General features: G+C 37.4%; 2 pseudogenes, besides 12 other annotated features; both read right to left on the bottom strand.

Moving 5' to 3' along the window:
- GAPDHP16 (glyceraldehyde-3-phosphate dehydrogenase pseudogene 16) lies at positions 1,869-3,046 on the bottom strand (annotated as a pseudogene).
- Positions 2,789-2,958: an enhancer, noted in NCBI's record as "experimental_61623 CRE fragment used in MPRA reporter constructs". NCBI's record gives its function as "activates a minimal promoter by MPRAs in K562 erythroleukemia cells, with activity observed for the introgressed 21:16146797 variant allele {active_cell/tissue: K562}" and the evidence as "EXISTENCE:reporter gene assay evidence [ECO:0000049][PMID:34662402]".
- Positions 4,718-4,887: an enhancer, noted in NCBI's record as "experimental_61617 CRE fragment used in MPRA reporter constructs". NCBI's record gives its function as "activates a minimal promoter by MPRAs in K562 erythroleukemia cells, with activity observed for the non-introgressed 21:16144868 variant allele {active_cell/tissue: K562}" and the evidence as "EXISTENCE:reporter gene assay evidence [ECO:0000049][PMID:34662402]".
- Positions 7,946-10,698: a biological region, named in NCBI's record as "meiotic recombination hotspot B".
- Positions 7,947-10,607: a meiotic recombination region, noted in NCBI's record as "this region was identified as a recombination hotspot within the HapMap CEU population". NCBI's record gives the evidence for it as "EXISTENCE:nucleotide sequencing assay evidence [ECO:0000219][PMID:20981099]".
- Positions 8,492-8,507: a nucleotide motif, noted in NCBI's record as "nucleotide motif; similarity, but not exact identity to the predicted 16-mer PRDM9 C-type binding motif, CCNCNNTNNNCNTNNC".
- Positions 8,503-10,301: a meiotic recombination region, noted in NCBI's record as "meiotic double-strand break mapped by DNA meiotic recombinase 1 chromatin immunoprecipitation followed by single-stranded DNA enrichment and sequencing in the germ cells of some male individuals with the PRDM9 A/A, PRDM9 A/B and PRDM9 A/C genotypes". NCBI's record gives the evidence for it as "EXISTENCE:chromatin immunoprecipitation-seq evidence [ECO:0000229][PMID:25395542]".
- Positions 8,742-10,041: a meiotic recombination region, noted in NCBI's record as "crossovers mapped in sperm cells of males of European ancestry". NCBI's record gives the evidence for it as "EXISTENCE:DNA detection assay evidence [ECO:0005519][PMID:18650392]".
- Positions 8,751-10,698: a meiotic recombination region, noted in NCBI's record as "this region was identified as a recombination hotspot within the HapMap YRI population". NCBI's record gives the evidence for it as "EXISTENCE:nucleotide sequencing assay evidence [ECO:0000219][PMID:20981099]".
- Positions 13,560-13,619: an enhancer, noted in NCBI's record as "active region_18282". NCBI's record gives its function as "activates an Ori minimal core promoter by ATAC-STARR-seq in GM12878 lymphoblastoid cells {active_cell/tissue: GM12878}" and the evidence as "EXISTENCE:reporter gene assay evidence [ECO:0000049][PMID:35858748]".
- Positions 13,750-13,809: an enhancer, noted in NCBI's record as "active region_18281". NCBI's record gives its function as "activates an Ori minimal core promoter by ATAC-STARR-seq in GM12878 lymphoblastoid cells {active_cell/tissue: GM12878}" and the evidence as "EXISTENCE:reporter gene assay evidence [ECO:0000049][PMID:35858748]".
- Positions 13,860-13,989: an enhancer, noted in NCBI's record as "active region_18280". NCBI's record gives its function as "activates an Ori minimal core promoter by ATAC-STARR-seq in GM12878 lymphoblastoid cells {active_cell/tissue: GM12878}" and the evidence as "EXISTENCE:reporter gene assay evidence [ECO:0000049][PMID:35858748]".
- Positions 14,150-14,269: an enhancer, noted in NCBI's record as "active region_18279". NCBI's record gives its function as "activates an Ori minimal core promoter by ATAC-STARR-seq in GM12878 lymphoblastoid cells {active_cell/tissue: GM12878}" and the evidence as "EXISTENCE:reporter gene assay evidence [ECO:0000049][PMID:35858748]".
- Positions 18,134-19,791, bottom strand: POLR2CP1 (RNA polymerase II subunit C pseudogene 1; annotated as a pseudogene).

Raw genomic sequence — 22,213 nt, 5'->3', positions numbered from 1 at the left:
CCATGTAATCAATTAATATTCCTTTACATTTTCCTTTTAGTGTTAGTAGATTCCACTCTAATATTCCTTTTTTAATTTATAGAATATTGTAATTTATACCCTCTTTCTATTTTTCTCAACTGGCCTAGCTAGAAGTTTAATTGATCAATATAATTGGTCTTTTCAAAGATTTAGCTTTTTGCTTTCATTGATTTTCTCCATTGTTGGTCATTTTCTGTGTTATTGATTTTCACTCTGGGTTTTATTTGTCTTTCTTTCTAACTCTTTGAGTTTAATTTTCTCTTCTTTACTAGCAACTTATGACAGAAGCTCTGAGCATAAATATTAGACCTTTTTATATATAAGCATTCAAAATTATAGATTTATAATATATAGATTGAACTGCTTTAGCTGCAGTTTTAGTTTTGATAAGTTATGCTCTCTTTTTTTTAGTTTAAAATATTTTCTAAATTTATGTGGAATCTCTTCTTTGATCTGTGGCATATTTAGAAGTATTTTATTTAATTTCCGTATATTGGGAGACTTTCCAGATATCTTTTTGTTAATATTCTTAGGTTCTGCTCTGATACTTCTTTTGTAATTTATAAAACATTGTAATTTATGTCCTCTTTCTATTTTTTCTCGACTGGCCTAGTTAGAAGTTTAATTGATTGATATAATTGGTCTTTTCAAAGGTCTAGCTTTTTGCTTTCATTCATTTTCTCAATTGTTGGTCATTTATGATGACTTAAATTTCTTGTAGTCAAAAACCATATTTGCATTATTTTGATATTTTAGAATTTGTTGAACAATAATATAAATATACTTCATGCTACCGAATTGTACACTCAAAAATGGTTAAGATGGTTAAATTTATGTGTTTATTTTACCACAGTAAAAATGTTTGCTATTATGAATTATAATAAAATTTGTAACTGTCTATTAAAAAATTGTTGAGACTTCCTTTATATCTCAGGTCCACCAGGTCTATGGCAACTTTTTCATTGTCAATGTATATTCTGTTGCTCTTGGCTAGAGTGTTTGATAACTATCGATTAGGTCCAGTTAGTTGAGACTGTTGTTCAAATCTTCTGTATCCTTACTGATCTTCTGTTTAATTGTTCTGTAGATTAGAGAGAAATTTTGAAATCTGTAACTATAATTGTAGACTTTTCACTTCCTCCTTTCAAGTCCATTAATTTTTGCTAAACTTTGTTTAAGCTTTCTTCTGGAGTACCTATGTCCATTTAGATTTGCTTTGTCTTGTTCATGATTGACCCCTTTATCATCATGCAATGTCCCTCTTTTCCCAAATAATAATTCTTGTTCTGAAGTCTACTTTGCCTGATAATAATATAGCTACTCCAACTCCCTAATACTTATCAATTGTATTGTATATATTTTTGCATCCTTTATTTAAATCTATCTAAGTCTTTATATTAATATTTGAAGTGTGCTTCTTGCTGCGTCTTCTTTTTTAAAAAAATCCAATCCACCCACTTATCTTGAATCTAGCCATCAATCTGATTGGGAAAATCAATGATCTTGCTATTTTTTCTATTTTTTTCTGGTTTTGTTTGTTTCTTTCTTGTTCTTGATATCTTCTTGGTTCAGCATTTTTGAATACCATTTTATCACCACTCAACTTGCTATCTACACCACTTTATTACTTTAGTGATTGCTCTGTCTGTAGGGCTTATGAATGCATATTTAATTTATCACAGTCTGTCTTCAAATCTTACTATATCATTTCTCTGCCTCATGACAATGTACTTCCATTCCTCCTTCCTGTTCTATATGCCACTTTTATACATTTACAACCTCTATCTATTACAAACCCTAGCATATTGTTTTTATTTAAAAATTATCTTTTTTGGGGGGAGTACCTTGTATTACATTGATGGTACATGACAAGGTAGGGCTCTCTAAGCTGCTTCTCTTCTTCAGGGAGTCTGGGATAGAAACCTTGTTGGGAGTGGGAGCTTTTTAGTGTGTTGGGAAATTGAGTTGGGTCAAGGACTCCCCAGCAGCTGAAAACCTCTTTATTCTTCTCTTGTTATTGCTGGGACTAGTGGCCCAGGGCTCTTCTCCTTGGTGCCCACATTGACTATAAGGTTTGCCACTCTTGCTGTAATCAAATTCATTATTATACCAGGAAATGAGCTGGATAAAGTGGTCCTTGAGAACAATTCAGCCCCAGCATGAAAAGATAAATAGTAGGCACCACTGTTAACGTCAAAGGAGACAATCTGGTTCTCAGTGTAGCCCTGGATGCTCCTTACAGGCCCTCTGATACCTGCTGTACTATTTTCTTGATGCCATCACAATTGGAGCTTTCTCCAGATGGCAGGCTAGGTCCACAACCAACACAGTTGGGACACGGACACAGAAAGCCAAGTTGGAGAACTTCCCATTCAGCTGGCGTAACCTTGCTCACAATCCTGGCAGATTCAGGAGACACAGAGATGATGTGCTGGGCAGCCCCACCCTGTCATGCCAGTTCCTCAGATGGACCATTACCAGTCTTCTGGTATCAGTGATCATAAGAACTTTGCTCCCTTCATGATGCCAAAGTTATCCTGGATGACTTATCAGAGGGCGAAGGCAATTGGTGATACTTGAGGCATTGCTGACAATCTTGAGGGAGCTGTCATACTTCTCATGGTTCTTGGAGTCTGGGAGGGAAACTGTGTTGAAGTTGGGAATATCAAAAATGTGAGGGCATCAGTAGAAGGGACAGATGTGATGACCCCTTTGGCTCCACCATTTAAGTGAGCCCCAGGACCAATGGACTCCACAACATATTCAGCACAGCATCAACCCATTTGATGTAGGCAGCATATGGCTTCTGGAAAATAGAGATGGCCTTCCCATTGTGGACAAGCTTCTTGTTCTCAGCCTCAACAGTGCCACTGAAATTGCCATGTATTAAATCATACTGGAATATGTACACCATGTTGTTTATACAATGAAGGAGTCATTGATGATGACTCTTTGTTGAAGTTTTAAAGCCGCCCTAGAGTCCAGGTGCTCTATGTGGACAAATCTGGTGACTTGGACCTTTACCATTATGTCTTAGGTATGTGCCTGGCACTTCACAAGAACACATGGCTGTTTGTGGAACAGAAAGGAGCAGAGAGCCAATTATCTTTTAAGAAACTTAAAAAAGAAGACAATCTCATTCTATATTTATTCATATATTTACCATTTTCGGTGCTCTTCATTCCTTTGTGTAGATTCAAGTTTTTATCTGGTATAATTTTTCTGTGCCAAAAGAAATTCTTTTAACATTTCTTTTAGTGCCAATCTGCTGGTGGAACGTTTTTGCAGCACAGGGTTATATGAAATCTTTATTTCATTTCTTTGAAGGGTATTTGTGCTGTAGCCCCAGGGTTTTAACCAGCAGAGGGTGCTGTGCCTCTCCAGAGTTTAGGATGAGGATAAGTGTTGAGGTGCTTCCAGCAGACCTCCCGGTTTTCAATGAAGCTGGAGTCCTAGTCTTGGCGCTGAATTTGCAGACAGCGTTGTTTCAACTTAAGGCTTGATGAGAAAAGACAGAAGCTGCTCTCCACAGCCTACTAGATAAATAAAAAAAAATATTACTAGGAAGTGGTAATAGTTTACTTGAAATAGATCAGTAGGAATTTATAGCGTTATTCAAATATTAATTGTTTTTTCCTAGCAAGAAGTTTACTAGTGTGTTATGGCTTAATTTTTGTTCATGAAAAATAATTGGTCTAGGTTTGCTTTCAGGATAAGAGATGTCTCTTTGTCCTCGCTAAAGCGGTACTTGACACTAATGTTTTTCTCTTGAAAATGCCCATAACTTTTTTCCACTTTCTTAGAAGTATGCAGCTATAGCCATTACGTTAGTGATTTGGACCTGGATTCCAGAGTACGTGGTCATTTGTCTGAAGATTACGTTCTACGATTAATTTCATTTTAATATATGAAGGTGATGCTTTGTTAAAAACAGAGAATCTTATACTCTGGTATGTTACAGAAAGAGGCTTCACACCTTTAGAAGCCCATGAAATATTTCACATACAGAAACAAACTTTGTAATGATAAGGTGATGACCTGTCCTTATATTATATAATAATACAAAAATTGTAGTGGATTTTGCCAGCATATTTGTTCATCATATACGGGAACTCATGAATGATGTTGTCACTTTTCTTCATTCTATGACAGAGGTTTTGCTTACTATATTTAGAAGACAATCACTATCAGAGGGGCAGTTGGCATAGTCTTTGGTAGACCTGGCTCCACTACATACTGGTTCTTTGGCATTGGTAAGGTATTGAATCTCTTTAAACATCAGTTCTCTTTTCTGTAACATTGGAGTAACCGTAGTATTTAGCTCATACAGTTATTGTGAGTTTCTTGAGATAATGTGTGGAAAGCACTCAGCACAGCATCTGTAACATTGTGACTCAATAAATGTCAAGGTTTATTTTAATTAACTTTTATGTTCTGTGAAAGAAATACATGATATTAAGCCACAATTATCATCTGCATTCTATGGATACTTCAGGAAGCATGGAGAGAATGCAAAGAGATAAACAGTTAATGATTTTCTAATGTAATGGAATATCCTAACTCTGATAAAGACAGAGTGCATATGATTTCTTGAGGAGTTTTCTGTTGTAAATGAAGACTGATGGTACAATGCAATAGAAAAGCCACTGGGTTTTTTATCAGGAAACTTTGCTTTATCTTGGCTGTATTACTTCCCACCACCTAAGTTTTGCAAAAACACCTGTTATCCTCTTTGGTCATAATTGGAAGATAAACCTCTTCTAGGGTTCCTTGACAGCAGTGGGAAAGTTTCTGATGCATTGTCTGGGAGGGTCACTGGCAGTCATGAATAGATGAGGTTATACTCCTGAAACAACTGGACTTCACCTGTTATGGACTGAATCATGTTCCTCCAAAATTCATATGTTGAAGTCTTTACCCCAGTACTTCAGAATGTGACTGTATGTGGAGATAACAATCTTAAAGAGGTAATTAAATGTCAAACGAGGTCATTGGAAGTGGACCCTAATCCAATATGACTGGCGTTCTAATAAGAAGAGGAGATTAGGACACAGACATACCCAGAAGACCAGGTGAAGACACCAGAAGACTGCCGTCTACAAGCCAAGGAGAGGGGCCTTCAGAAGAAGCCAACCCTGATGACAGTTTGAGCGTAAATTTCTAGGCTCTAGAACTGTGAGAAATAAATTTCTGTTGTCGAAGCCATCCAGTCTACAGTACTTCATTACAGCCGTGCTGAAAAACTAATATACCACGTGTCCCCTTTGCTCCAGGTCTCCTTGTCAGCATGACTTCTCTAAGAAACTGGGGACTCTACTATGTGGATCATGTTCATAAACTTATGAGTCCCTTTCATACTTCCCTTACATAAAAAGAGTTAAATCTATAATCTTTGTCTGCAAAATGAAAAACTGCTGGACTGAACTCACATTTGAAAGACTCCGTTTTCCTGTAAGTGCTGAGGTCTGACAATATGTCACGTATTAAAGTCTGCCAAGCTGTGGCAGTGGAGCTATCTTTTGGCTTTTCCCTGCACCATGTGAGCTAAGTTTCCTGTACATAGAAAGATCCTTCTGAAGCAGGAGCACAAAAGAAAGAGACAGGTACTTCTTTTTAGTTTCCAGAGGTTATGTAAATATTAGATCTTGCTGTCTTGTCTACAAGAAAAGTGAGTGTGCCCTCAAGACAAATGTGCTGAAGGAGTGCTTGTTTGTAGAAGCCAAAAGGATCATCCAGATATTCTAAATGTTACAAAAGCTGGTGAAGACCTTGTGTTGTGAATCTTAAATTGCCAGTTGGTTCTTTTGCTGGCAAAGGCAGCAGGCTCTTTTCAAAGTGGGATGACTGTAACAGCAGTTAAAATTAACACCTAGTATTTGTTTACTGTTGCTGCTGTAACAAATTACCACAAATTTGGCAGCTTAAAACAATACCCATTCATTATCTTACAGTCCATGAATCAGAGTCCGAGTACAGCATGGCTCAGCTAGGTCCTCTCAGATCAGCACTTTACAAAGGCTGAAATCAAGGTGTAAGTGAGGGTGAATGCTTCTTATCTAGAGGGTCTGGGGAAGAATCTGCTTCCAAACTCACTGGTAGTTTCCAGAATCCAGTTTTATATTAGAGTCTGTATTTCCCTCACACATGGCCCCCTTAATTTTTAAGCCCAAAATAGGAGGTCTAATCCTTCTTATGCTTTGAACCTTACTTCTCCTTCTGCTACCAGCCAGAGAAAAACCTCTGATTCTAAGTGCTCATGTGGTTAGATTAGGTCCACCTGGATAATCTTTCCTATTTCAAAGTCAGCTGATGAGTTACTTTAATTATATCTTCAAAGTCCCCTTTGCCATGCAATTTAAAATATTCCTGGGAGTAACTAAGGACAAAGATTACAGGGGCCAGAATTCTGCCTACCACACATCCTCAGGTGACATTCTTTTAGTTTACTTAAATGAATTTTTGTTTCATTTCTAATAGTTATGAACATATAATAGTGTTAAAATAGTTACATTGTGACTTGCATAGATTCACCAGTCTTTGCATTTTTATTTTTTTATGATAAAGTCTTCATTTTTCCTCTATAAGCTACATACCCAGGCCCATTTCAATCTTCTCAATACTAACAGGCAACTTCCACAGTTAACTCTGGGCTTCTTGTGTAACAAGTTTGTTACTTTGTCGTTGGTCATGAAGCAGGGCTCCTTAAAGATCTTCAGGTATGGACACAGGTAGAGACAATTCATTTATCCTAGTTAGAAAAATCCACCTTTATGTCAGTGATCCTCAAACTTTAGGGTACATGAAAATCACCTGGAGAACTTGTTTAAACTTCAGACTGCTGGGCTGCACTTCTGAATTTCTGATTCAGTATCTATGAGATACTGAATATTAAGATACTGAATATTAAGGATCTATCTATGAGATAGATACTGAATATTAAGGATCTATCTATGAGATAGATCCTTAATAATTTGCATTATTAACAAGTTCCTAGTGGTATTGTTGCTACTGATCTAGGGCTTACATTTTGGAAACACTATTTTAGGTTATTTTATTTCTATTTCTCTACTTATGAAAAAGCACAAATTTGCTGCTTCGTATTTTGGGGACTACGTGCAACATATGTGTTGCTGTAATTATTTTACACTTACCCCATCAAATAATGTTCATGCAATAGAAAAAACCTGAGGAAAAAAAAAGTGACACGGAAAGAAGTTTCTTATTAATGACATTTAGGGCATTTCCTTGTAGGTACCAGGCAAAGATGAATTTATTTTTAATCCCTTATTTTTTTGCTTTAACGAAATAATGACCTATGAAAATTAAGCGTAAGACAATATAAGGAAGGGTAAGAAGGGAGATCCAAAGAAGAAAGCAAATTGTTAACATGTGAATGTTTTCACTGGGAGTAATGTTTCCAAAAAAGTTTTTTGAATTTGATTTATTAGGTTGGTGCAAAATTAATTGCGGTTTTTGAAGGTAGGGAATTTTCAGCAAATTAGGATATTATTTCTTGCAGATGACATTTATTTGTTTCATATTACAATATTTTTATGAATAGTAATGATCACTAATTCTAATGAAGATGACACGGATGAAGTGCTTGGCATATTTCAAAATAGTAAAGGTGAAAACTGGAATCTGTAAATGGAAACATTTAAAAACCATCCTCTGTCCAATTTGTTGAAGTTGAAAAGACAAACAATATGACAAGACTATATATAAGATGCACTAGGTGTGGGTTTTGGTGGATGGGGGGCATAGAAACCAAATGGAAAACTCAGGGATAGAAGGAAAGAACTCTGATCAAAGACAAGGGAAAAGGTGACAATATTGAAAAGGGTTACTTTGCCTTTTCCCAGTGTTATAGTGGCTTTCCAATTCTCTTCTCTGATCTGTTTTCCTCAATATGGCTCCAACTCAGCGGCTAGCTTCTCAGAACCCAGTCGGGAAAAGTAGAAAAATATAAACCTCAACACATCTGAGATTCTTCAGTGTCCTTTAATGTTCAGGAAATCTGACTCTCAGATAAGTCTGCCCCAATGTCCTGACCATGCGTGTTCAGAAGAAAAAAGCATCAAACGCCATGGATGAAGGCAAATGTGTTTCACACATTGAGATTGTTAAGGAAGTCTAGGATCTATGTGTAATTTTACTACTTAAATTTTATACATGTGTTTTGAGATGAGTTTTAATAAACTGACAATGATATATAACCAATTTGTGGCAAGAATAGACTTAGGAGTCATGCCATATGTTAGTATAAAACCTAGCTATGGGCTTGTCTCAGGCTTCATTGTCTGGGACAGTTCATTACAGAATAGGCAGATAGGGCCATATCCTGTGTAGGATAGATCATTTTGTTTGTTTTGGTTTTTTGAGATGAAGTGTCGCTCTGTTGCCCAGGCTGGAGTGCAATGGCACAATCTTGGCTCACTGCAACCTCCACCTCCCGGATTCAAGCAATTCTCCTCCCTCAGCCTCCCAAGTAGCTGGTATTACAGGCATCCACCACCACGCCTAGCTAATTGTTGTATTTTTGGTGGAGACGGGGTTTCACCATGTTGGTCAGGCTGGTCTCGAACTCCTGACCTCAGGTGACCCACCCTCCTTGATTTCCCAAAGTACTGGGATTATGGTATAAGCCACTGTGCCTGGCGGGATAGATCATTTTTATATAGAGGTGACAATGCATTGGAAGCAAGTGAACAAAACTGCCAATCAGTAAACCCTGGGTTTGCCTCTGAGCCTAATGATTTGCAGATTCTGGAATAATCCGCAAAATGCTCCCTTACATACACACAGCAAGTATGAGTGAGTGTGTGTGTGTGTGTGCACGTGTGAGTGCATGCATGTGCTTGTGTGTGTGTGTGTGTGTGTGTGTATTTTGTCAAGGATGTCTCCTCAGGAGCTTAGAAGTTGAAAACTCCGTAACAGAAAGAAACCAGAAACAAATGTGTGATAGGCTCAACTATATATTTTCTTTCTTCAAGCAACACATTGCTGCTATAGATCCTGGAAGCAGACAGCATTCATATACCATATTCTGAGGTTAAGTGTCTGACTCATCAATGGGAGTGAATTTACATGTGTTGAAATGTCTTCCAAATCAAAATATGGGTCTGTGAGATGAAATAGATAGGCTCAGAATATATGTTTAAAGTCCTGTTGGATAGGTTTGCAATCTATTTGTTTGTCGTATCTATGATATGACACAGTTCCTAGTTACCTCAGAGGCCCATTCCAGTTTGAAGGCTTTCATATTTGGGGAGGAAGGAGGGCTCTTAAACTGACTTAGCCTGTAAGAAACATGGTAATTGAAAGGCAAAAGTGAATGAGGGGGGCAAAATATACTATGGCATTGGAGAATATTTTGCACGGAAGTAAGTACAACAATGTTCTTGCCTACAAGTTTCATGAAATACAACTGGCTAAGGACAAAGAACCACTAGTTTAAAGTTTATGTGATGTGCCAGGCACTAGACCAGGTATCTACATTTGATTCTATTATCAATTAATTTGTAAAACTGAGGTTCAGAGTGGTAGAAAGATTGAGAATCGATTGTAAGTCTGGTTGTATCTGGTTCAAAGCCTGCTCTACATACTGAGCTACTGCAGAAATGTGAATGAATCAGCCACTAATGACCTGGATGATTTTTGCAGAAATAGCAGTGTTCTCATATCTAAAACAATAGATCTCTCTAAGGTTTATTCAGAAAGCTCTGAAAACATGATTGCATTCCTAGGAAGTTAAAAAGATTTCATAAGGTCATTGGCAAAATCTCCCTTACTACTTTCAGGCTGAGAAGTAATTTCCCCCAAGTTTGTAAAAGCCCTCACACCGATTTAATTTCAGTTTATGCAAAGCCCTTTGGGTGTAAATAAATGAGATGCTTTAATAAGGTAATTTCTTTTAGAAAATAGGTAGCATGACAAATAACAGGACAATTGACACCAGAAATAACTTTCTTGGTTTTACTTATTCTAGACTGCCTAATTTATTTTCACTCCTCAAGAGGAATAAGGCACATTGAGCATGGCCCTAATTAAAGTCTTGTCACAAGTGTGACAATAATTTAGACCTACGTGGAAATTTTGACTCCTGTTGCAAGACTCTCACAGAACTAGCCCCTGCCCGCCTCTCCAGCTTGTCTCCCCCTACTCAGTTGAAGCCACATCAGCCCTTCTTGTGGAGTGTCTTTAGACACTCCAGGCCTCAGGATCTTTCTATTCTTTTTTGTTTGGAATGCTCTTCCCGTAGATCTTTCCATTTCTATGGCTTATTTCCTTTACTCAGGTCTAGCACAGAAGGCTCCTCATTACACTGGAGACGTTTACCCACACCATCTAAAATAGTGTGATCCATCTGCCCCTTCCCACCCTCTCTATCCTGTTGCTCTGCTCTATTTTTACTTTATAGAACTTACCTCTTACCTTATATTATATTGAAAGTTTCTTTTTATTTATTTTCTCCTTTTACTTCCTCCAAAAACTGTAAGCTCCAAGATGGTAAAGAGCACGCTTATTTTATCAGTCTACTCTAGCCCCCAGAAAAACCCCAGTAATTTCACTGCCCAATCAATGCCATATTTGCAGCATGAATCAATGGAATATGTGGCTGTGAGTTTGTTGAATGGTAGTTGACCTGAACAAAGCTTCTGGAGATTAAAATCCAAGCTAAAGGGCTACTCAAATTATTATTTATTTTTTCTCTGTCCTTGCCTTAAGTCACGGACTGAAAATTCCTGGGATAGGGTGAAACACAGAAGCTGGCATCAATTTAATTAAAAAGGAGCCATTTTAAAAAGTGGAGCCATTTTGACCCTATGTTAATGAAGGAAAACGAATGTTGCAGTTGGGGCTTAGCTCCTGGCGGTGCTGCTCCTGCCTTGCAATGCGTCAGGAGCATGTTCCCCTGCACCCAGGCAGGTGGCACCACTTGTCTGGGCAACTAGGGCACCTCCTACAGGAAGGTCAGACACATAGAACCATTAATGTGACAACATGGAGAAAACCTTTTCTCTACAGTAAGTCTTCAGGAGGAAAAAGCGTGTAATGGTGGATACTGGAGTCAGGGATTGGTATAAAACCTACTCCCAGTAGGCCAATAAATGAAATAACTAATTTTATAAGTGATAAGAGATTGAGAGGAGAAAGGTGAGGGAGAGGTGGAAGATGGTGTGTGTCTTCCCATTGCTCATTTATCTGTCTCTCATGCTTGTGTCCTACTGGAGAGAGGGGGTGGTGCCTGAAATGCTTCAGTGAGCCTTAAGTATACTCCCAGCATGTAGGTTTACTCTCCCAATTTTCAGAGTATGCTGTGAAGAAAATGTTCACCTACATTAATGACATTTTGTTTCAAAATGGACCATTTATCCAACACATTATTGAATGCTTACTATACGACAATGTTTGTACTAAGAACTAAGGCCACAGAGTGTAATGAAACATAATTTCTCTCTACAAGGTGAGGGCATATAAATGACGTTATAAATACCATGTAAGTGGTATGAATAAGATGTTATGGGCTCCCCAAGGAGCATGTGTCTATAATTGGGGGAATTATGGAAGGACTCAGTTAGACGGTGGTATTTGAATTTGAAGGATGAACAGGACTTTTGTCAGACAGAAATGTCAGGAAAAGGACATGCCATACAGAAAAGCATGTATCAAAACAATGAATTGGATTTTGGTAATGGTAAGAATTTTGGTTTTTATGTGTGTGTGTGTGTGTGTGTGTGTGTGTGTGTGTCCCTACTTGAGAGCGTTATGGCATAATGATGGACATTATATGTCAAGGTTTGTTCAAGGAAATCTCAGCTACTCTACGTATTGCAAGTTTGAAATGTTTAATGCAGGGAATTAGAAGTTTATTCTCATTGGAAGGCTTTCGGGGAGATAAAGACTATCTCAGTGCAGAATACTTATTGAGGTGATTTTCAAGTGTTCATTCAGAATGTGCTTCAAATCTCATGACCACCCATGTGTCTGCTCACAATATCTGGGGAATAATGCCCTCCCAATCTTTGGAATTTGGATTTGGAGGCATTTGCTTTCCATGTCTTGTGTGATGCTTCTCAATAGTGACTCTAAACAAAAACCACATGGGGAATAGTACTGCCAGCATTTTCTTTGTTGCCATCTGCTTTCTGGCAGTGGAAAATAGACCTTATGGGTGCTAAAGTGGTACAGAATGATAGCAGACAATAAAGCTCGGTGAAAGGCAGGTAAGGTTGGCTGGAGTGCCATTGTACCGCCTTTCATGACATCATATGTGTTCGCACTTCCTCTTGGAATCATTGGAGATATTATTGAATGTCTTAACTCAGGGAATGAAATAATTAATTGAGTTTCGGAAAGATTAATCTATACTTTTATTATTAGAAAAATAACTATATATTTAAAGAAAAAATAATAAGGAATGAAGGAGGGCAACGTGTTAGTGTTGTTTTTGTGTTCTTATAAAGATACCTGAGACTGGGTAATTTACTAAGAAAAGAGATTTAATTGACTCATGTTTCTATGGGCTGTACAAGAAGAATGGTGCCAGTCTCTACTTCTGCTGAGGGCTTCAGGGAGTTTACAGTCATGGTGGAAGGCAAAGAGGGAGTGGGCCTCTCACATGGTGTGAGTGGAGGGAGGTGCCACACTCTTTTAAACAACCAGCAGTTGCATGAACTACCAGAGCGAGAACTCACTTGTTACCATGGGGATGGCACCAAGCCATTCATGAGGCACCTGCCTCCATGACCCAAACACCTCCCATGAGGCCCCACCTCAAACAATGGGGATTACATTTTAACATGAGATTTGGAGGGGACGAACATCCAAACTATATCCAGCAACATATGACACTCTGACATTCAAATTATATGAAGTTTGGATTAAGGGAAATAAAAATGGAAGGTAGAGAAATCAGTTGCTTCCTGAGCTTTGTCGTTTCCCTAACAGCCAAATTTTGGTTCTAAGAACATTAAATGAGCACCTAAACACTAACATTGTGCTTCCAGAAAAGAATCACCCTGTTCGTCTCCACTTTCACTCTTCGCGATCCTTATTCAACTGATCAGAAACAAAATTCTGTCTAGAAAGGTCACCTATGGATTTCTGTAGCAAACACTTTTAACCAACTACTAAAGATTTGCTCCTCTTGCATAATATAGAGGATGCTATGAAGTGGCTGCCCAGACATGGACTATCATTTCCAACCCCTTTGGATCTAGGTGGGACCATGTCACTGAATTCTGTTCAATGGAATGTGAGTGAAAATATAACAATTCCAAAACTGTCACATAAAATCTTCCACCCCTTCCAAACTCTCTTCCCATCCACTGGCTGGATAAAACTTTCTTGAATGACCTGGCAAGCGACATAATAGAGGGGAGATTCTTCATGAACTTGGGTCTCAGAACCACCTTTACCCTCTACACCACACTGCCGCCACCACCACCTCCAACTGGACCTTACGTGAGCAAAAATGAAACCAACACCACCACCACCAACAACAAAACACTCATATTTTATTAAGCCACTGAGATTTTGGAGCTTTTCTATAATCACAGCTGGTAATATTTTCTCTGTGTTTCTCTGTGGCAATACGTACCACATCTTTAGCACATGATATGGCTATTTAAATGAGAATGCTTTTGGAGTACTTGAAAATATAGATAAGGAATTCAGAAGGCTCTGAAAACAGAATTTTGGAGTTGTTAGCACATAGGTAGTAGTTGAAACCATGGGTGTGGGTAGGATGATTCAAGAAGAATGGGCAGAATGAGAAAAGAAGGCCAAAGAAGAAATCTTGGGGAGTCAAACAGTAAGGTTGCAAGCAGAGAATGAAGCAGTAGCAAAAAGTGTAGCCAGAAGAATAAACTATATTCTGTCCTAGGATTCATGAGGACTCAAGGGAAGGAAGAGTGTGTCAAAGGCTGAGGATAAATGTTTCACTGGAGTACAGAGAACAAAAGAAAAATAGATAGCTGTGCACTGAGGAGTGAAAAAGGGAAGTGAAAGTAGAAACAGAAACTGCAGCTGATTCTAGAAGTACAGCAGTAAGGGAAGGAAATACATGCCTTCAAATTCAGCAAAATAAGCAGATTCATTTTAAGGATGAGGACAAGTTAGACAGGTTTGTAAGCTAAAAGAGAACAGCCACGACAGAGGATACAGTGAAGATTCAAAAAACGGTGGTGAATATTGAAAAGGCGTTGGAGGACACATAATAGAATGCAAAGTCCACAAGGAGAGGGGCTTTGTGTCTTGTTTCACACTGTGTCCCCAGGCTTAGAATATTCTGGCATCAGAAGGCACTCAGTAAACATAGAGAGGAAGAAAGGAAGAAGATGAAATCAGGAGTACAGATTAAAGTGTTATCTTTGGAAGACAGGCAAGACATCCTTTGGGACAGAAGGGAAGGAGAGAAAGCTGGGGAACATGCAGATAATACAAGAGGTGCGGTTTGTGACTGATGGCTGCTATTTTCTCTGTGAGGTAGGAGGCTTGGCCATCTGTTAAAATGAGTGGGTGAGTCCAGCTAAGTAATTTAAGAAGAATGGTAAAGGTTTGTACCAGCTACTAGCATGAATAATATGGTTATTTACTTGAAATAAAAATATTAGATGATACTAACAATGCATGCATTATGAAAATTGATGCATTCATTTGAGGTTACTTACTGATTTACAGAAAATAAGCCACTGGGTGCATTCAATCATTTATAAGGTTAGGGGTTAAGTTTAAGACATAAATGTAAATTTGTCTGCGTATTATCCAGAGTAAAGTCAATATCCTCTTTGGTACATTGCACAATCTCAGACACTGTGTTACTCTTTTGCTGTGAGCTTTTAAGGTCTACCTTAATATATTCATAACTGTAACATTGTGTAATTATGAACTTCATCATTTGGATAAAATTATGAACAAAAGCAATTGTCCAGAATTCTCTGATTTAGTTGCCATATCTTAAATAATGCCTTTTGTGAAGAAAATATGTGATTAAATTATATGTAAATACTTTAATTTTATAGACTAGAGGTGGCTCTGAATATGTAGATTTCATAATGTTAAATATCACAAAGACTTCTGTGACCATAAAAAAGCTGCTTAATTAAGCACTTTAATATACTGTCAAGGCATGTATATTAAGCAAAAGCAAAAGCTTAATTACTCTTTTACAGACTGAATCCAGACAACTTTGGACATTCCTTCATTTGAAGAATTTTTACTGAACAATTACAGACCATTGATTGATACAGTGAAGATCAGAATGGCATAGTTTTCCTGTCTTCATGGAGATGAATGAATGAACTGTATTTTTTATTAGCCTAAGCATGAATTCTTCCCAAATTTCCTCCATGAACCATAGGATCCTACCTCTTAACCATTTTATGAAAATTCTATGGTGAATTGAGGTCCTCAAGTTGTCTGACAATATCTGATTTTGCCACGGTCATGTGGGAAAAGTAGGCATGTGAGCAAGTCATAGTTTTACTTGTTTGGAAGATTCTTCTAATTATGTCAAGATGAAAGGTTTTATACTGTGTAGAAGGCAGTGTGAGAGAAGTGGACAGTAGAACTCCTATTTGGTGGGCCAGTGGCTATATTTTAAAATATGAAGGATACATATTTGACTGTTTAAGTACAATGATCTGCCATGGATCTATACTTTTGGGCTGCTGTCTTTTAGGCTAAAGCAATTAAAGGCAATGTAATGAACATGGTTATCTGTGGATGCCCCTTTGATTGCCATTGTATTATGCTTTACACTGTGATGGCTCTCTCTTTGAGGAGAGACGCTGTTCCTCCAGGGAGATAAAATATAAAATATGAATCTTACCCTTAAGCATACACTTCTCCCCACTCTCAATATACAGTGGCTCTGGAATTCATGCTTCACTTGGGAGTTGAAAGTTTGCGTTTATAATTTTATATTCTTATTACAGGCCAGGCTATTGAGATTAGAAAGTCTTTATTTTTCAGTTGGAGTGTGATGAGCCATATTCCCTATTGTAAACAGCCATATTAACCAAGATAATTTAATTTGGAATGATTGCTTTTTGCCTTTGAGCTGTAGATCAAAAGGTTCCATTATATGTACAAATAAAGTAAAAAAAAATTTTTTCTGTGAATGTTACAAAATTTTTTTATTGTGGTAAAAAACACGTAAGATCTTTCCTCTTAAATTTTGGGTGTATGGTACAGCATTGTTAACTATAAGCATAATGTTGTAGAGCAGATCTGTGAAAATTTTGTCTCTTGTATGATTAAAACTTTATGCTCACGGAACAGCAATTTTCCCATTTGTCCCTCTTCCTAGCATCTAGAAACCATAATTTTACTCTATATTTCCATGAGTTTGACTATTTTAGATACTTCACATAGTGGAATCAAGTACTATTTGTCTTTCTTGTACTGGCGTATTTCACTTGGCATAATGTCCTCAAGGTATATCTATGTAACAGAATTTTCTTCTTTTTATGGCTGAATAATATTCTATTGTATAAATATATAGTACATTTTCTTTATCCATACATATTGCTGATAAACTTTTAGGTTGTTTCTAATTCTTTTCTTTTTTTGAGACGGAATCTCGCTCTGTCACCCAGGCTGGAGTTCAGTGGCGTGATCTCGGCTCACTGCAAGCTCGCCGTCCTGGGTTCACGCCATTCTCCTGCCTCTGCCTCCGGAGTAGCTGGGATTACAGGCACCTGCCTGCCACCGCGCTCGGCTAATTTTTTTATTTATTTATTTTTAGTAGAGATGGTGTTTCACCATGTTAGCCAGGATGGTCTCAATCTCCTGACCTCGTGATCTGCCCGCCTCGGCCTCCCAAAATGCTGGGATTACAGGCATGAGCCACCGCTCCCGACCAGTTGTTTCTAATTCTTATCTATTGTGAATAATGCTGCAATGAACACGGAAGGGCAAATATCTTCCATGTCCTGATTTCAGCTCTTTTGGATAAATGCCCAGAAGTGGGATTGCTGGATCAAATGGTAGTTTTTATTTTTAATTTTTCTATCAATCTCTATGCTGTTTTTTTTATAGTGGCAACATCATTTTATATTCTTACCAGTAGTGCACACGGTTCAAATTTTTCCACATCCTTGCCAACACTTTATTTTTTTAATTTTTAATTTTTTATAATGACCATCATAATGAGTGTGAGATGATACCTCAGTGTGGTTTTGATTTGCATTTCTCTAATGATTAGTGAAGAATGTCTTTTCATATGCCTGTCGGTCATTTGTATCTCTTCTTTGAAGATAGTTATTTTTATTTTTATTTTCTGCTATTGAGTTTCTTGTATATTTTTATATTAACCCCCTGTCAGATATATGGTTTACAAATATTTTCTCTCATTCTGTAGGTTGCTTTTGTACTCGGTTGATTATTTCCTTCACTATGCAGAAGATTTTTAGTTTCTGGCTTTTTCATTTGATGTAAATCCATTTGTCTATTTTTGCTTTTGTTACTTGTGCTTTTGGTGTCATATCCAAGAATTAATTGCCAAGACAAATGTTATGAAAATTTTACCCTATGTTGCCTTCTTGGAGTTTTATAAATTCATGTCTTATGTTTAAGTCTTTAATCTATTTTGAGTTGATTTTTGTGCATGATATAAAATAAGGATCCAATTTTATTCTTTTTGAATGTGAATATCTAGTTTTTCCAGCACCAATTTTTTGATACTATCCTTTTCCCATTGTGTACTCTTGGCATCCTGTCAAAGATCATTTGACTGTATATGTGTGGGTTTATTTCTGGACTCTCAGTATTGTTCCATTAGCCTATATGTCTATCTTTATTCCAGTACCATGGTCTTTTGATGACTATAGCTTTGTAATATGTTCTAAAGTTAAAAAGTTTGAGGCCTCCAGTTTTGCTCTTTTTGTCAAGATTGTTTAGGCTACTTTGGGGTCATTTGTACTTCTGTACAATTTTTAGAATTGTTTTGTCAATTTCTGCAAAAAATGTCACTATGACTTTAATAGGAATTGCATTAAATGTGTAGACTTTGGGTGGTATGGACATTTGAACAATGTCTTCTAATCCATGAACGTGGGAAGTCTTTCCATTTATTTGTGTCTTCTTTTCTTTTTTTAACTTTTTTGAGATTATGTTGTGCTCTTCATTGCCAAAAATAAACACTTTTAAAAACACAACTTCTGTTAATCAATAAATATCTCTTTCTTTCTGTGTTTTTTCCAGGCTGCTAATTAACTGCTTTGTGTATGTTCCTCCCTGGAGACAGTGTTAAGAGGTCAGGGCCAGAGCCTTCATTTGGGAGAAATGAAATACTTCTGTGTATGTGGGAGGGGCCCTTGCTCCTGCTGGCCACTGCCACCACTACCACCACCACCATCACCAAACTAAATAATCAGGTATTGGTGGTGAAGGGGTTTGTAACTGCTGGGTAGAGAGTGAAATATTGTATCTACATAGGGGAGAGGGCACAGCCATGGCCTGATGCTCTTCCCAGAAGGTTACTTCTCAAATTAAAGATGCCTGTGAATTTGAAGTGCTAGTAGGACAGACTTGGGGAAAGAACTGGAAGGGTTTATAGGCCCTTTGAATGAAGGCTGTGACATTCAATCCTAATACCAGAAATCTAAGGTACAACTGAAATTATTCCTTTTGGACAGAAAGCGTTTAAAGTAAAGAACTGAACTAACCAGGAGAGAAGTCCGGTTGGCTCCCCTACAGACGCATTAGGAAACAGGCTAAAAGGGATGTTTTAGGATCTGTGGAGCACTGCTGGCGATTAGCAGTTAGGGCCAGTAAAAAACTGTCCTGCTTAAATGCCGCTGGCATCCCTAGTAATCTATTACCCGCTTCTAGTTGGTACTGATGACCTGCCAAGAAGCTCAAGCAACAGTAGACTAGATTTCCAAAAACTAGAAGAGTCTCAAGAGAGACCCCCCAAATCCAGCTGCTGGCTTGAATCCCCATTCTTGCTGAAGCAGCAAGCTGCAGCTAGTTTATAGTTAGCATGTCACTCTGGATCTCGTGGCTTAATTGAGTTTTTAAATCACTCAGCTTCTTCTTCAATCCAGTGAGGGCTAAGAGCACATGGCTTAAGGACACAGAGAGCCTTAGGAATTCATGTTGTAGTAAAACCTTTCTGGCTTGCCCATGGGGTCACAGGGCACCTGTGACTCATCCTCATCCAGCTCCAAGTGCTCACTCTTTGGCCACTCCTTGGGTTTGGGGTACACTGCATGCCTCATGGCATTGTCTGGATTGTATTCAAAAGCCACCCCTGCAGTAAGGTTCAACTTGGCATGCTCCTTGCTAAAACACTTTTTTGTATAGGCTCAAAGTCTCAGCTCCTGGCCCTTTCTCAACTTGATGATGAGAATGTCATCCTGCTCCACGTAGTCATTAGGGTCATCATCTTGTTTCACTGGAATGACCTGGGGGCTGTTGGAGATGAGGTCTCAAGATGTGACATGTCAAATCTGGTCATCATTGCACTGCACATCGAGGGTGAACTCCACCAAGCACTCAGCAGAACTCTTCACATGGGCAGTCCCGGGAGGATAGCAGCTTGTCCACAATGTCCTCACTAATGAGGGGAATTAATCTAAGTTTGTGAGCCATGAACTCATCATGAAGAACTGAGGAATTGGCATCAATTTGAACCCAGTCAATGACTATTATGGGCACCTCAGAGAAGAAGACACTCCGAATCGAAATGGCCACTGCCGCATTGGTGTTCTGGATGATAAACTTGACATTGTGGGCTGGTTGGCTTATGGCATCATGCCCCCTATTTGTGTGTGTGTGTGTGTGTGCGTGTTTTAGCAATCTTTTATAGATTTCAGTGTCTAGATATTTTATAATACTTCTCAGTTTAGATTATTACTAAGAATTTTATTCTTTTGTATTCAGTTGTAAATGGACTGTCTTCTTCATTTTTGTTTCCAATTGTTCACTGGTAATGTACATATACTCAACTGATTTTTGTGTGTTGATTTTGTATCCTGCAACTTTGCGTAATTGGTTTATTAGTTCTAATGGTTTGTGTATGTGTGTGTGTGTCTGTGTGTGTGTAATTGTCAAGGTTTTCTACATACAGCGTCATATTATCTGCCAACAGTGAAAATTTGTTTTTCTTTCTTTCTGATTTGGATGCCTTTTTATTATATTTCTTGCCTAATTTCTCTGGCTAGGACTTCCAGTAGTATGTTGAATGAAAGTGGTCAGAGTGGGCATCCTTAACTGATTCCTGATCTTAGAGGAAAAGCTTTCAGTTTTTCACTGTATAGCATGACATTAACTGTAGCCTGTATTATGTTGAGGTAATTTTCTTCTATTAGTTTATTGAGTGTTTTTATCATGAAAGGGTGTTAAATGTTTCAGATGCTTTTTCTGCATATATTGTGATAATAATGTAATTTTTATCCTTTATTCTGTTAATGTGGTGTCTCATATTGATTATTTTTGTATTTTGGCCATCCGTGTAACCCAGGGATAAATCTGACTTGGTCATGGTGCATCCTATATATTTTGTTATGTTCTCTTTTCATCTTTATTTGTCTCAAAATATTTTTCTAAAGTTTACCTTCTGATTTATTCTTTGACTCATTGATTATTCAAGAGTGTGTTGTTTAATATTCACATATCTAAGAACTTTTCCATTTTCCTTTGCTTTTCGTTTCATTCCATTGTTGTTGGAAAATATAATTGGCACAGTTTGAATCTTCTTAAATTTGTTAAGACTTCTTTGTGACTTAACATGTGATCTATTCTGGAGAATGTTTCATGCATGCTTGGGAAAAATATGTATTCTGCTGCTGCAAGGTGGAATGTTCTGCAAATGTCTGTCAGTTCCATTTGATCTATAGTCTGGTTCAAATCCTCTTATTTATTTATTTCCTTATTGATCTTCTGTCTGGATGTTCTATCAATTATTGAGTGTGGTATATTGAAATTCCCTACTGTTATTGTGTGTTGTCTATTTCTCTATTAAATTCTTTCATTGATTGCTTCCTGTATTTGGGTGCTCTGATTATGGGCACATGTATATTTATAATTGTTACATATTCCTGGCAGATTGACCCTTATATCATTATATAATGTCTTTGTCCTTCTTTGTCTTTTTGGACAGTTCTTGACTTAAAATCTACTCTGTCTGATATAAATTTGGCCACTCTTGCTGTCTTTTTTGACTACAATTTGTGTGGATTATTTTTTCTATCCTTTCACTTTCAGCCTGTGTGGGTCTTAAAGTCCAAAGTGAGTTTCTTGTATACAGCATATAGTTGAGTCTTGTTTTCTTTAAATCCATTCAGCCACTATATCAGTCTTTTAATCGAGAGTTAAATTTATTTACATTTAAAGTAATTATTGATAGGAAAGGACTTACTATTGCCACTTCTTAAATTGCTTTTTAGCTGTCTCATAGCTTTTTGACTCACTTTTGCTCTCACTGTCTTACTTTGTATTTTTCTGACTTTTTTGTAGTGGCATGTTTTGATTTCTTTCTCATTTTCTTTTGAATATCTGCTATATAGGTACTTTCATTGTGGTTGCCATAAAACTTACATAAAACATGTTATTGTTAAAATAATCTACTTTACACTGATAACTTCCCCCATACTTTATGCTATTGATGTCACAAATTACATCTTTTTATATTGTATACCCATTGCTAGATTTTTATAATTATTTCTTATACTTTTATCTTTTAACTTTTATACAATAATTAAAAGATTTATACAGCATTGTTACAATATTACAGTTGTCTTAGTTTGTTAAGGCTGCTGTAATAAAATACCATAAGCTGTGTAGCTTATAAACAACAAACAATTATTTGTCATGGTTCTGGAGGCTGGGTAGTTTAAGGTGAAGGTATCAAGAGATTTGGTATCTGATGAGGGCCCACTTCCTATTCATAGACTATGCCTTCTCTCTGTGTTCTCACATAGCAGAAGAGGCAAGCAAGATCACAGGGGCCTCTTTTGTAAAAGCATTAATCCCATTTATGAAGGCTTGGCTCCCATGACCTAATTGTCTCCCAAAGGCCCCACTTCCTCATACCATTATCTTGGGGGTTAAGATGACAACAAATCAACTTTGAATGCACACAAACATTCAGATCACAGCAATAGTATTCTTTATGTTTTTATGTATTTACCTTTACCAGTGAGCTTTGTATTTATGTATGCTTTCATGCTGCTGTTTAGCA

This window comes from Homo sapiens, chromosome 21 (assembly GCF_000001405.40).
Source record: "Homo sapiens chromosome 21, GRCh38.p14 Primary Assembly".
Taxonomy (NCBI): domain Eukaryota; kingdom Metazoa; phylum Chordata; class Mammalia; order Primates; family Hominidae; genus Homo; species Homo sapiens.
This window is presented reverse-complemented; position numbering and strand designations above follow the sequence as displayed.